Source organism: Homo sapiens, chromosome 5, assembly GCF_000001405.40.
Source record: "Homo sapiens chromosome 5, GRCh38.p14 Primary Assembly".
Taxonomy (NCBI): domain Eukaryota; kingdom Metazoa; phylum Chordata; class Mammalia; order Primates; family Hominidae; genus Homo; species Homo sapiens.
The window spans coordinates 150,593,390-150,607,478 of record NC_000005.10 but is presented as its reverse complement, the minus strand read 5'-3'; the positions used below and the strand labels follow the sequence as shown (position 1 = coordinate 150,607,478).

The following is a 14,089-nucleotide window of genomic DNA, read 5'->3' as shown; positions in this document are numbered from 1 at the left end:
TTCCTTGGGTTATTACGTGCCTCAATAGGTACTGAGCTCCGTGTCACTTGTGGTAAACAAGCAGAGAATGAGAAACTCCTCAGTAGAAATAAACTGACCCCAATATTACAGGAAACCCAGACCAGCACAGAGCATTGTAAGACCATAACCTCCTTCACTCTGGACATTCTACCTTTATTAATGCAGCCTAACATCAGATTTGCTTTTTTTTTCTTTCGACAGCTATGTTCCTATTACGCTTATGGCCCACAAAGACGTCACTAAATAACTGCTACTTTTATGCCATATCTCCCACATCCTGTACCTAGGCAGTTGGCATTTTGAGCCCAATGGAGGACCTGACACGTATTTAAGTTAGTTTGGCATCATGCTGACAAGGACTCTCAGTAAGGACTGGAGCCCAGACTCAAGTCTATCAAAAGATAATAACCCCCTCCCCCTCCCCCCAATGTAGGATGAAATAAAATAATGGAAGGGAAATATGTTTTGTCAACAGTTATCCAAGGCTACTATTAAATCCATTCAGGACACAGTTGTTGAGGCTGGATGAAGAACAAGTGTGAGGGCGTCAGATACTGGACAGGGAAGGGCTGGAGGATAGAAGTACAGGCTCAGGAGTTGGGGGCAGGTCAAGGAAAGGAAGACACTGAAAGAGGCGGCTGAGGGGCGCTCAGCCTAACTGTAGATTTGCTCGGTTGGCCAGCCCCTGTCACCTGCCTCTCCTCCTCACTGAAGCCTTGGCTCAGCACACACTCAGACGTTCAGCCCTGTTCCTTCCAACCCTTGTGACTGTGGGCAGGTCACTTTCCCTCCCTGGACCTGAGAAAAGGCAAAATCATGTTGCTGCTCCACAGGGCATGGCAATATTGGAGGTGAAAGTGCTGGTCCCCATGCCCGGCGCAGAGCAAGAGCCCAGTGCTCTGGGACAGTGTGGCAGCATGGTTCGGCAGCCGGCTCTGCACACAGGCAGCCTGCCTTGGAGAAGCCAAAAACGAACTGTGTGGCCTTGGGCAAGTGACTTCCCCTCTTCTCCATGTACAAATCAAGAATAATCACAGTGCCCACCTCACTGGGTGGTTGTGAGGATGAAACAATATAAGAGCTTAGAACAGAGCCTGACAGTGGCAGTGCCCAGTATACAGTAGGTATTACTGCAGTGAGGGGGTTGAGACTGTGTAAGTTGTTGGGGCAGAGGGGAGCAGGTTGAACCAGAAGTAGCTACAGAAACACGCCATCCCAGCATCTGTCCTCCAGCTTGGAGCTTCTTCTGCTGTGTGTCTGTGTGCGTGTCTGTGTCTATGTCTGTCTGTGTGTATATGTATTCATTGTGTATGTTTGTATGTGAATCTTGTGTTTATGTGGATATCTGCATGATATCTGCATGATATCCACGTGTGTGTATGTGTGCACATGTACGTGTCTGGGCGTGTATCTGTGTGTCTGTACGTGTTTCTATGTGGCATTTTGTATATATGTGTCTGTGTGTAATCTGTGTAATTGTGTTTCTTTGTGTGTATCTTTGTAACAGTGTGTAAGTGTGATGTATATGTGTCTCTGGGTACGTATGTATGCATCTGTGTGTGTCTATGTATATCTGTCTGTGTGTATTTGTGTGTCTGTGTGACTGTCGTGCGTTTGTGCCTATATTTATGTGTGTGTCTGTACGTGTCTCTGTGTATCAGTGTGTGCATATCTGTGTGTGTGTGTGTGTGTGTGTGTATGTGTGTGTGTGTGGTGGGGGTGGTTGGAGTCTGTCTGCAGAGCTGCTGGGAGTGGCCCAGGAGGTGGTCCAGCCAGACCAAACAACCCCAGTGAGCTTGCAGCTCCAGGCTTTTCTCCTGACTCTGTTTGCTTTCTTCCTCTCCTTTCCGGTCCCCTTTAACCCATTCCTGCTCCAGTGAAGCTGGGAAGGAGGCCCTGTCCGGGTAAGTACCAAGGGCCTCCCCTTCCCCTCTCCCCATAAGATTTCCTACCTTCTTGCCCCCACCCCTCCATCCCTGCCTTGTTGCCACATTGATCCCACAGAGGCCCCTTCCCTATCTGAGCCTCAATTTTCTGAGTTTCCTCATCTCTTTAAATATCCTTCAGGTATGAACCATCATACCATCCCTGCTATCAGTGACAAGGAAGAGTGCTAGTCCTGACCACCCGCCAACCTGGGAGACTCAGGGAGAACATTCCAAGAAGTGCTTTTGGTAGTGTTTATGGCAAGATTTGAGACCAGCCTCAGGGAGAGCCCCACCTGGGGCTCAGGGCCTCTGACCGTCCAACCTCACTACTCACAAAGGCCGTGGTCCCAACTTGGAACTGCAGGGACTATCAGAGGGGAGCAATTTGAGGAGCAAAGGCCTCTGGGTTTCCATTCAGCTAGAGGAGTGTTCATTGAGCACCTACTATGTGCCAGGAGCTTAGGGTTGGCTCATTTCATCCGCATAACTGCCTTGTGAGGTAGGTGCTATTCCTGCCCACTTTACAGATGAGGAAACACAGACGTGGTGGGATTAAGTAATCTGCTTGAAGTTATGGAGCCATGGGGAGCGGGGATGGGACTGGAACCCAGGCCTGCAGAAGAGTTGGTGCTCTTCTCTCATCTTAGGGCATATCATTTGCTTCCGCATTCTCCCCTCTGTAAAATGACAATCACACCCCCTCCTTAAGCCAGCAGAGCTATCAGCAGGCCTGATACCTTTGAGCTACAATTTGTTCAGTGCCAGCCGCAGTGTGTGCCAGGGCTTCTGTGCCGCCACCTCGTGAATTTTCACGACAATCCATTTTACAGGTCAGGAAGGTGGAGTTGAGACGCAGTCGCCTGGTGAGCTCCCACGGCTACTACAGGAGCAGAGCACGGGGTCACCTAGTTTCTCTTCTTTTTCTTTTTGCCTCACCCAGCAGCTACCTTCAGTTTTTCCTCGCCTAAAGTTAACATTGCCACCGGTAGATATGGATGTGACTCCATAGATAAACTGCATTGTTGCCACTTCCACACACTGCCCCTACCAAACCCAGGAAAAAGAAATCAAAGTAAAATCTAAGGAAGTCAAGAACCCAGGGCATCACTGTCGGTGAATAAGTTCTAGAATCTTCAGCCTCCATCTGCACCCCATTCCTTAGCCCAACAGGGTGGCTTACTTAAGCAGACCACAGTTATGGGAACAGTTTTGCTTTTAAATGAGAATGTTTCTTTGGGACGCAGTTGCTCTTTAAGCGCTCATCCTCCCCACATAGCAGTGCCACCTCCCGCTCCCTGGTCAGGCAGATCTCTCTATAACCGTGCCCATGCCAGGACAGCATGAAGCAGATCTCTGTTTGCCCTTGGCCTTGGGTATAGCTGCTAGTGGTTCAGCAGGACCCACAAGGCCACTGAAGGTCAGTTAGAATGTGGCATGTTCTGCAGGCAGAGGCTATGCCCCTGATCATGGCCAGCAGCTTCCCCAGGGTTTGAAACAGGATTCAAGGGAATCCAGGCCCAAGGACTGTGGATGACTCCATATGCCCATCTCCAGGAAGCCCAACTCCAAAACTCACAAGGTTCTTCCCCCTAGGAAAGGCACCCTTCCATAAGAACAAGAGTCTCCTGGAAATAGCATTTTGTTTCATCCTAGGGCAGCACTAGAGAATCGCTTTAGCCTCATCAAGGACAATGCCTCCTGGGGCCAGAGGAGAGGTGGGCCAGAGAGGGCAAGGAGCTTGCCTAGGGTCACACTGCATGTCAGGGTCAGGGATCAGGTGGACCCAGCCCTGTGCTCCTTCCTCTGCATCTCTGCCTCACCAAGAAGGGACTGTGAATTCGTCCCTACCCAAGGATGCTGTCCACATCCTGGAGCCAAAGCTTGGTACCCTTTGCCTGTTGCAGGACAAGACAAGAAAGAATGGTCCCGAGAGCTGCATTTCCTGCAGCAGAGCAGGGTCAGGCTACCCTAAAGAGCTGGTGATGAGACAAATCACCAATGAATATCCACATATAAGCAACTGTGGTCACAAGTAACACTAACGGCAACAGCAAATCTAGCAGAAAGGGAGGAGGGTGAGGGAGTATGTCCTGAAAGATGCCAGCTCTGACCAGCTTTGCCTGGAGAAGTGACTGGGGAGCTTTGCCAAGGGGCCCCCCCAGAACCCTTGCACCCTCCCAGTGCACCTCTCCCTGGCTAGTCCTGGGCTGGCAGATAAAACGCAGCCAAGTGGCCTGGGAGCCAGAGCTGAATGGCAGGAAAGGCCAAGGCCAGGGTGGCCTCTCGCCTACCCACCCATCCTGGTGATTCAAAGCCAGGCTGAGGCCGGACAAAGCACTTGAAAATGTCAGTCAGGGGACAATCTCTTTCCCAAACTCCTTGCCTGTGACCTTGGGCATCCAGCTTTTACTCAGGATGGCTGATCTTTTCCCCAGCTCTGCGCATTCCATCCCCTGCCCCTTCCCACATAGCACTCACAGCATACACCACACACACACACACACACACACACACACACACACACACACACACCCTAAGGTGGCAACTGGGCTTTCCACTCTGTAATCACAGAATTACAGGGCGGTTGCTAGTTTGTGGGGGCCAAAAGATGGCCTACATAGCAGATCACACCTTCAGGCCCTAGACAGTCAAAACCAACGCTCTTAGGAACATTTAAAATGATGAAAGCGGCTACACGTGGTGGCTCATGTCTGTAATCCCAGCGCGCTGGGAAGCCATGAGGGAAGGATCGCTTGTGGCCAGGTGTTTGAGACCAGCCTGAGCAACATAGTGAGACCCTGTCTCTACAAAAAATAAAAGAAAAAACAGCTGGAAGAGTTATGATCATGCTACTAGACTCCAGCCTGGGTGACAGAGCGAGACTCTGTCTCTAAAAAAATAAAATAAACAAATAAAAATAAATAAACAAATAAAATGCTGGAAGCGTAATGACAGCCCATTGCCAAAAGGGACAGAACACAAGGATCTTCTCCTGATCCCCGGCTTTTATTCATTTGGGTCCATTATTCCTTTATTTCCAACTACCCGCTGGCTTGATATGCTATTTAGACACCTTTCCCTAATGTAGGTAAAAACAACACACACTCCTTGTTACAATGAAAATTGGCAGTCTACATGGCACCGTCTCATGGGCTGCCAGAGGTGCACACACCAGACTTTGGAAAACACTATCCTGGCCCAACTCTGCCATTGTGGGGATAGGGAAACAGGCCCGGAGACAGGAGGAGACGTGTCCAACATCCGTAGCAAGGCAGTGGCAGGGCCACCACCAGAACCCAGAGCCTGGCGCCCAGTAAGGCTCATTCCTTAAGGAGAGATGATCCAGGACTCAGGTCACCTAGGCCCTCTGGGAGCCCCATTTGCCACAGAACCTGAAAGTGTGGACTCCAGCCTCGCACCAAGGCTGAGCCCACATCCCAGTGTCCTCTGTGCCCCCGATGAGTCTGGATGGCCCACCACTGTCTCCCCGATGGCCATAAGGAAGCTGTCCCTCACTCAGGCTAGGTTTTCTCACCTGCCAGGGCTACAGTGGTGATGCCGAGCTCCTGGAGGTGACTGCTCTGAAAAAGATGAAAACAGATGTGGGAGCCGAGATTGTTATCACCTCCTTGCTCTACTTATCAGCTTTTCCCCCAGGGAAATGGGCAGAGGTTGTGCAGGTGCCAGAAGACTGAGCTGGGCTGAAAGAAAAGGAATGAAGGAGGATGGTGGTCACAAGGGAGTCTCTGCACAGTGAGGACCACCCCCTACTCAGGTGAGTGTCCTCTCACCCCAGAGGACCCTCCCAGGGGGCAGCCAGCAGGCTCCCAAGCTCTGGGTGACAGGTAGGAGTGTGCCCAGGACTTAGGCCACAGGAGGCCACTTCAGCCCTGCAAGCAGGAATACCCCACCGACCTGCAGACAGGCTCTCGCGTGTGCACACACGCTCATTCATACAACAAGCACACGCACAGAACTCATTCACTCACACTCTGACACACTCTCACTTGTACGGATGCAAATGACCCCGAGCCCTCCTGCACAGCCCCTCACCCACCCTGGGGCACATGGTGGGGCCAGCTGCATCTTTTCTCCCCCAGCCCCAAGCCCCAGGCTTGGCGGCGTCTCTGCCCCGCTGCCTGGGAGACACATGTGGTTTCAGTTAACAGGAGAGCTGGCATTTCCGTCCCAGACAGCCAGGCCCTGCCAGGGCCCTGGCCCTACAGGCACCCGCAAGAAGGGCCACCTCCACCCCCACTCCTCCACTGGCCATCCCAGGGACCCCGAGGCCCCCTCTCCCCTGGAAGGCCCTGTTCTCTTTCCCTGTGGTCGCCCCCTCACCTGTAGCCGGACACCACACCCTCTGGCACAGCAACTGGCTGTGCCCGGGCCTCTGTCCACGGCTGCCCGGCTGCCCGCCGCCTGCCCGCCTGCTCCTCACTCGCGCTCTGTCTGGAGCAGGCTGAGCGGGATGGGAGGAGGGCAGGGTGTCAGGGGGGCGGGCGGGAGGGAGGGGAGGGGGCGTGTGGAAATGAAACTTTAATAACAGAGCCCCTTTTGTTTCCGAGCATATGGGATATTTCATACATACTGAAGACATTAGCCGTCTATATTTTTAAGGGCTTGGGCTAAAGGATGAATAAATACAGCCCATATTCTGCTTGACAAACACACACATCAGAGTACTGACTTCTGTAGCATTTCAAAACCTGAAGAAAAAGCCCCCAGCGACACAGGACACTTAAAAATAAATATGTTTCCAAAACCTTAGGCTGGCTTTGCCCCTTCCTGGAGCCACTTGGAGGACTCGGGGCTCCCTTTATCCCACAGCACTTCCCACCACCCGCTATACCTTCTGTGCTATTGTGGGAAGCAAGCCCCTGGAATCCAGCCCCCTGCCCCATTTCCCTTTCCCGGATCCCTTAACCCCCCAGCCAGATCCCTGAGTGTTAAGAGTTCCAGAAGAGCTTGGGATCTCTGCTATCCTCATTGCAGAGATGGGGAGCCAAGGCTCAGAAAGGGGCAGGGACTTGCCTCAGGTCACACAGCAAATCCGGATTTGGGCCAAGGGGCTGTGCCTTCTTCTTTCAACAGGAGGGATCCCCACTTCCCTGCCTGGGGGATGGGCTGGGGAGACCCCAGAGCCCCAGAGGGAGGGCTGTTGTGTGGGCTGGGAGAGTGCCCGCCTGCCTTTCCCACTGGAGTGCTGCTCTGGGCATCCCCTCCAACTCTGGGCACCCATCCAGGGGTGACGTCAGCAGGGCTGGGAATGGGGCTGGCCCCAGGAAATCCCCTTCAGGCCGGCAGATCCCAACAGACCTGGAAGCCTCAGGTGCAGGAGCCTCCCTCCTTTACAGTTCAGCTCCCAAGTCCCCTCTCGCCCTCCATCTGTTCTCTAGGAACAAAAGCAGAGGCCCAGAGAGGTCTGAGGTTTGGCCAAAGTCACGCAGCAAAATGATGGCAGGACAGAAAATCGACCCCGGCTCTTCTGAGCTTGTGTTTGCTGGCAAGGTTTTGCCGGCAAGCTGTTCCCAGCTCCCTCCAGGCAGGGTCCCTCGGTTGGGGTCTGTGCAGTTTCCCCACTCATGTCTATTCATTCTCCGGAGGTGGCCTCAGTTCCCCTCTCCTGTTAGAATTCAATCCCTTCTCATCAACTGCCTAACCATCCATTTAGTTAAGCAGTTAACACAGTGCTTGACACTTACTAAGTGCCCATGATAAATGCAAACACTTTATTATGATGATATTGATTGAGTCCCTGCTACAATCAAGCCTGTGCCCAGCACTGGCACTGCAGTAGTTACTGTAAGACAAGCCCCCACCGCCGACCCCCAGGCTCACAGTACAGAAAGAGCCTCTGTCTTCGCAGATGTCTTCTCAGGGACTCTTCTCCGATACACTTTGCAGTAGGTACCACAGTCATCCTCACTTTAGGGCAACTGAGGCTCAGAGAGGTTTAGATGTCTCCCTAGGCCACACTGGTGGTAAGGGGGCTGGGCCTCCAACCAGGATTCCCTGACTCCAGAGCCAGTGCGGGTCACCCTCCTGGGGCTCACTCAGTACTTGGCCCCAGCATTGGTCCCAAGACTACTCAGCACCGCATACCACTGGGTGTCTCTACAGCCAATAACAGTCACTTTCCTGGCCCCTGCCAGGAAGAGCACCCCCAAACCATCCATGAAAAAGGGGGCACTGATGCAGAAGCTTGCTTCCCGGGTTCTTGGCCTCACCATGCCACTAGCAAGTGTGTGGGGTCCCTTCTCTAAGGACCTGGTTCTTTACCTGTGAAGCAGAGATCGTCGTTTCACTCAACTGTGAGCATCACGTGATATTAAAGGATGTGAGAGGGGCTTCGCCCGGTACATGGTGATTTCCCTGTCTGGAATTTTGTGTTGAGAATGGATCCTGGCATTAAATCCTGTCTGGGTTGCAACAGGCCCTGACAGGCCTCCTTGCCCATGGGTGGCCCTCGGTGTAACCTGCATCCGGCCCCAGAATCAGCTTCCTGAACAAGCGCTTCCGTGTCCTTGTCGTCACCCTTGCAATAAACCGACAGCAGGTCCCCCGGCCATATGAGGGGCTAGAGGGGATTGATTCAAGGCCCCTGTGAACCTGGCCCCACCTCAACCTCCCCCTCCTTCCCAAGCCAGACCCCCCACCATGTCAGCCTGCACCTTCAGGCCTCTGGGGACCCCTCCCTCCCCACCACCATCAGCGGCCCCTGCCTTCCACCGCCACCATCAGCTTGCTGATGTGGAAAGTCCATGAGTTGTGTTGTCTCTGCACATGGAACTCTCTGTTGGTAACAGTTCAGAGGCCTCTTTAGAAAGGGGGTTTCGTAGGAGTTCTGGGCTGGGCTCTGCAATAGCAAGTTTCCCAGGTACTGGGATACTTATCTGGATACTATATCTGGATACTTATCTGGATACTAATTATCTCATAAAATAATAAGAAAACCGCCATTAATGGAGCACTTCCTCTGTGCCGGGCACTGTACTAAGCGTTTCACATGCACCATACACGCATTCCTGACAACCCCAGAAAGCTGGTAGGGAGGCCGAACTGTTTGCTGAAAGCCCCCCAGCCTGTCCGTGGCAGTGCGGGTATTTAAGTGTGTCCTACGAGTATAACCTGCTACCTCCAGCCTATGCCCTTCACGGCAGCACAGACTGGCTCTAGGGGCAGCATTTTCTGTCCCTGGTGACAGGATGAGCCCCTGGAGGAGTGAGACTCAGCCTCAGTCTTTTCTTTCCCCCTGCAGCAGGGCTGAGCACCGTGCTTGTTCTGAATTGGCATTCGTGAACATTTGCTGCGCTGGATGCCAGAGAGGTCCTGGTTAAACTCTCAGATGGAAGGAGGTAGTGTGTGTTTCTCTGTGGGCGGGGGACACTGCTTCCTCGGTCTGGCGAGCCCTACCCGTGACCACGATGTGTTGCGAGGGCAGTGGGTATTCACAGGCAAGATCCCACTACTGAGGAGTGTGAGGGTTTTGACCCACTCTGTTTCTGATACAGGGAAGTTTGTCCCTCCTTAGGTAACCGGGTGGTTTCCTACCCCCAGGAAGTCATTATATTCATGCCAAATTTAGTGTGGTCTGGGTGCGGTGGCTCATGCCTGTAATCCCAGCATTTTGGGAGGCTGAGGTGGGCCGATCACTTGAGGTCAGGAGTTCAAGACCAACCTGAGCAAGATGGTGAAACCCTGTCTCTACTAAAAATACAAAAATTAGCCAGGGTGGTGGCATGCGCCTGTAGTGCCAGCTACTCAGGAGGCTGAGGCAGGAGAATCACTTGAACCCGGGAAGCGCAGGTTGCAGTAAGCAAAGATCATGCCACTGCACTCCAGCCTGGGTGACACAGCGAGACTCTGTCTCAAAAACAAAAACCAGAAAAACCTGGCTGGGCACAGTGGCTCACAACTGTAATCCCAGCTCTTTGGGAGGCCGAGGTGGGTGGATCACCTGAGGTTGGGAGTTCCAGACCAGCCTGACCAACATGGAGAAACCTTGTCTCTACTAAAAATATAAAAAAATTAGCCAGGCGTGGTGACGCGTGCCTGTAATCCCAGCTACTCCAGGGGCTGAGGCAGGAGAATCGCTTGAACCTGGGAGGCAGAGGTTGCGGTGAGCCGAGATTGCACCATTGCACTCCAGCATGGGCAACAAGAGCAAAACTCTGTCTCAAAAACAAAACAAAACAAAACAAAACAACAAAACCAAATTTAGTGTGGACACTCAATCAGCACAGCACACTATGTCCCAGAACTCCTGGGCTCACTGAGCCTCCTGTGTATGTTGATGGTGAGGGATGGGACACAGCCGAGAGGTGCAATGTCTAAGAAAACAGTCCTTGAGCATGGGCTCAGAGTAAGAGGCGTTAAATGGAGACTTGAAGAAACAGGAAGCTCCAAAGCCCACTGTCCCCCACTAGCCAACTTAGCAGAAGCCACAGGAAGACAGCAGGATTGTCTTGATTTCCCAAGGGAGGTTTATTGAGACACAGCACTAGGTCCCCAACCCTCACTATCACAGCCCTGCAAGCAGGTGCCAGTCCTACCATCTAGGTTCCCCTTCTAGAATCCAGAATGTGGACAGAAGTCATGAGGCTTTCCAGCCCTTGCAAACTCTAATGGTTGGGTACATGATGGGGCCCGTGGGTGTGAAATGCATACACTATCTTCCCTTACCTTCTAGCCTCCTTGCCCTGACTTGGGTCTTTGCATGGGGGATCTGAGCCCGTGCAGGAGATGGCAGCCTCTTCTGGGTCCCCTACCCTTGCTCAGCAGGAGACACTGCTCACCAGACCCATTCTGGGACCCAGGGACCTCAAGAAGGTACCCTGGGCTGTGGGAGGGGTAGATCACTGGCCCAGGAACCTTCATCTCTGGCAGAGCAACCTTCACCAGGGCCCCCTCTGACACATGAGCCGTCCTGATCAGATCACTGGTAATTGAGTTGCCTTGGGGGGTAAATTCCATCCAGATGTGGAGGGCGGGGTGGACTTCCTGAGCAGAGCAGGGGCGGGGCACTGATACATGGGGGCCGTCCGTCAACTCGCCAAGTACCTAGGAGGCCTGGGATCGAACGTCGTCTTCTGAAAAAGCCAGATGTAGAATTTCAAGGCCAGGATATCTGAGTCCAGCCTTCTTAGTGAGCAGATAGGAAAACTGAGGCCTAGAGAGCCTAGAGAGCAAAAGGGACTAGTCCCACAGTGACTGCTGGATTTGCGGGATCAGAATTCCAGGTCTCCTATCTGGCCAGATCTCTTCTCTGGGGGTGTTTAGGGGAAAGTAGGCAGGGTGACCCCCTCCCCCAGGAATCTCTATCAAGCCCTGGATTTGGAGGTCAGGAGTAGGGGTCAGGAAGCAGAGAATCTGTGGTTGGGGGAGGCTCTCATCACCTCCAGCTTAAACCCCCAAACTATAGAGAGCTGTGTTTTATTTGCAGAGATTGTGGGGACAGAGGAGAGAAGATTCTAGGGGCAAGCCTGTAAACAAGACCTCCCCCCAACCCACCTGCCCTTGCAGGGTCATGGGAGAGCCTGTGGCCCGGGCCTCTTTTCCCAGGGGAGGCCCCTCCATGCTTCTCTCCTTTGAGAAGAGCCGCTGGGCCACATACCTTCCTGGCTCCGTTGGGCCGACTTACGGGAAGGCAGGAAGGGGCCAGCCAGCTGGGGGGGTGGGGGGCATGAGAACTTGGAGAGAATGAGAGGAAATGAGGGGGGAGTGGGCTGGGGTGGGGGGAGATTAAGAAGGGAATTTTTTTCCTCCTGCCTCATGTTTTGGCTGCCTTAGTGTGAACATGTCTAGGCGCCTTATCGCGAAGGCCAGCACAGTCTGCACGAGAAAGAAAATAGTGTCTGCAGCGGAGAAAATTACATCTTGATAAAATAGCCCTTTGGAATGACATTGTGGGTCTCTTATCAGCGAGTGGCTGGGCCTTACATACCTCTTGTCTGCCTGTCCCCAGGCCCCTAGATCCCTCCTTTTCTTCTCTCTCCCCTGTCCCCTGACTCCTAATGCCTACCCAGAGAGTGGCCTATGCCGAAACTGTCAGCCAAGTGTGGAGACCCAACTTGTAGTCCTGTTGCTCCTGATGCTGTGAGACCTGAGCCAAGTTCTTCTCCTCGCTGGGCCTCTGTTTCCCTTCAGGGAAGAACAGGGAAGGGTGGAGGAACAAGATGGTTTCTGAAGATCCTTCCAGCATTAGCATCTCACAGTGCTGACATTTTCATACTTGGTGATTCTATGTGTTTTGAACTTTTCCAACCTCTTCCCAAATGCCATCGCATGCTAAATGTCTACGATCTAAGATGTGCAAATCCCCTTCATTTCCATTAGATACATGAAGTTCTTGCTTAATCCCCAGGTAAAGCTACCCAACCCAGAGTCTGTGCAGCTCAGAAGAGGGTCCGCCTCAGCTTCCACCTGAGAAGTCTTGCAACAGCACGGGGTCTTCCAATTTTTTAGGCATAAATATTTTTTTCCTCAAAATATTTCCTACATGGAAATCCATATAAAATAACAGACAAGTGAAGCAATCATGCCTGCTTCATCCCATCTCCCTCATCCTCCACATCTGCTCTTCTCAGGCCTCTGACCTCCTTCCACAGCATCCAGGCCCCACTGAAGCCCCTTGCAAACTTCTGGGGCAGTTGATGGAGGTCTGGACAGAACGGCAAGAGTCCTGCTCGACCATTACCTTGCTGTGCAAACTTGGAAGGACTTTCCCCATCTCTGAGCCTCAGTTTTATCATCCGAAAAAAACTGGGGATAATGTTCACCACGCCCACCTCCCCAGGTTGTTGAGGGATAAACTAAGTGGTAAATAAGAAAGTGCTCCGTGAACTGAAAGACTTGATGATGATGAGAGAACTTGTAGTCTGCAAATGTGAGGCCCGGGAGAGCTTTTAGTGACCATCTGTGCAATTCCTTCTTCTTACAGTTGGGGAAACTGAGGCCCAGGGAGAGGGGAAGGAATTTGACAAAGGCCACACAGTGAGATGGCAGCAGATCCAGGGGCAGGTGGAGGGACCCATTTCTGTAGCCATCTGTCAGGAAGGCCTGTTGGTAGGTTGTGGGGAAGACTGGTTGCTTTTTAGGGATCCTGCCCAGCTTGAGGATTTGCTCTGACCCCTCTGAGCTACTCAGAGTCTGGGTTTTCCCCTCTTCCAGCCTCCTGGCTCTGCAAGGCAGGGATGGGGAGAAAGCCCCTTTGTGTAGCAGCCAAGCCCCAGCTCTGACCCAAGTTTTTGTTCCCTAAAGATCTTCCCCCTGGCAGAGAAGCCCCATCTCCACTGCCCCAGCCCCACTTGGCCAGACTCCCCTGCCGCCTTCCACGCCACCCTCAAGCCGCAAGTCCTGGCCCACACACAGGATTCCACAGAGCGCCTCTGTCCTCTGGCCATCTGGATGGCAGGGTGGGAGCTAACACACGTCTGCAGGCTGAAGAAGGACAGCGCCAGGGTCAGCACAGCCGTGCAGGGTAAGCCCCTCCACCCAGCAGGGACACCCCCTGCCCCATGTCTGACTTCATTATCACCTCACTTTGTGGGGCTTTATTATTCCAGAACCAAGCACTGCCAGAGCTGGCAGCCCCCTAAGTCTTCCATGACTGTTACCTACATAGCTCTCAAACTGCCATTCTACTGACCACACACTGCCCATTTACCCACCAAACCCAGACACCGCCTCTGAATTCTTATCACAGTTCCAGCCAGCACTGGCCAACCAGAACAGACACAAATGTTTTTATTGTTAGAAATAGGCCACACCCCGGGCGTGGTGGCTCATGCCTGTAATCCCAGAACTTTGGGAGGCCCAAGTAGGGGGACTACTTGAGCCCAGAAGTTCAAGACCAGCCTGGGCAGTGAGGCAAAACCCCATCTCTACAAAAACACAAAAATTAGCCAGTGTGGTGGTGAACGCCTGTAGTCTCAGGTACTTGGGAGGCGGAGGTGAGAGGATGGTTTGAGTGTGGGAGGCAGAGGTTGCAGTGAACGGAGATCATATCACTGCACTCCAGCCTGGAAGACAGAGCAAGACCCTGTCTCAAAAAAAATAAAAAGAAATAGGCCAAGCCACTTCTGGAATATATAAAATAGAGCCAAGGCTCAGAAGGGAAAGGAGTGTTGCCTGAAGCT

At 52.8% G+C, this 14,089-nt stretch overlaps 1 protein-coding gene across 9 annotated transcripts in view; it reads right to left on the bottom strand.

The window, feature by feature from the left end:
- SYNPO (synaptopodin) overlaps window positions 1-14,089 on the bottom strand; it is a 73,198-nt gene that overhangs the window by 51,729 nt on the left and 7,380 nt on the right. For 3 of the 9 annotated variants that reach the window (XM_047416685.1, XM_047416686.1, XM_047416684.1), the window contains exons 1-2: window positions 6,291-6,403; window positions 5,485-5,650 (exon numbers count right to left, since the gene is read on the bottom strand). The exons of 2 other annotated variants lie outside the window; for them this stretch is intronic. The gene's annotated coding sequence lies outside the window, so the exon portion shown is untranslated. Of the gene's footprint in view, window positions 1-5,484; window positions 5,651-6,290; window positions 6,404-14,089 lie in introns of those variants that run through there. 4 more of the 9 variants (XM_047416688.1, XM_047416689.1, XM_017009008.2 and 1 more) reach the window with 2 other exon arrangements.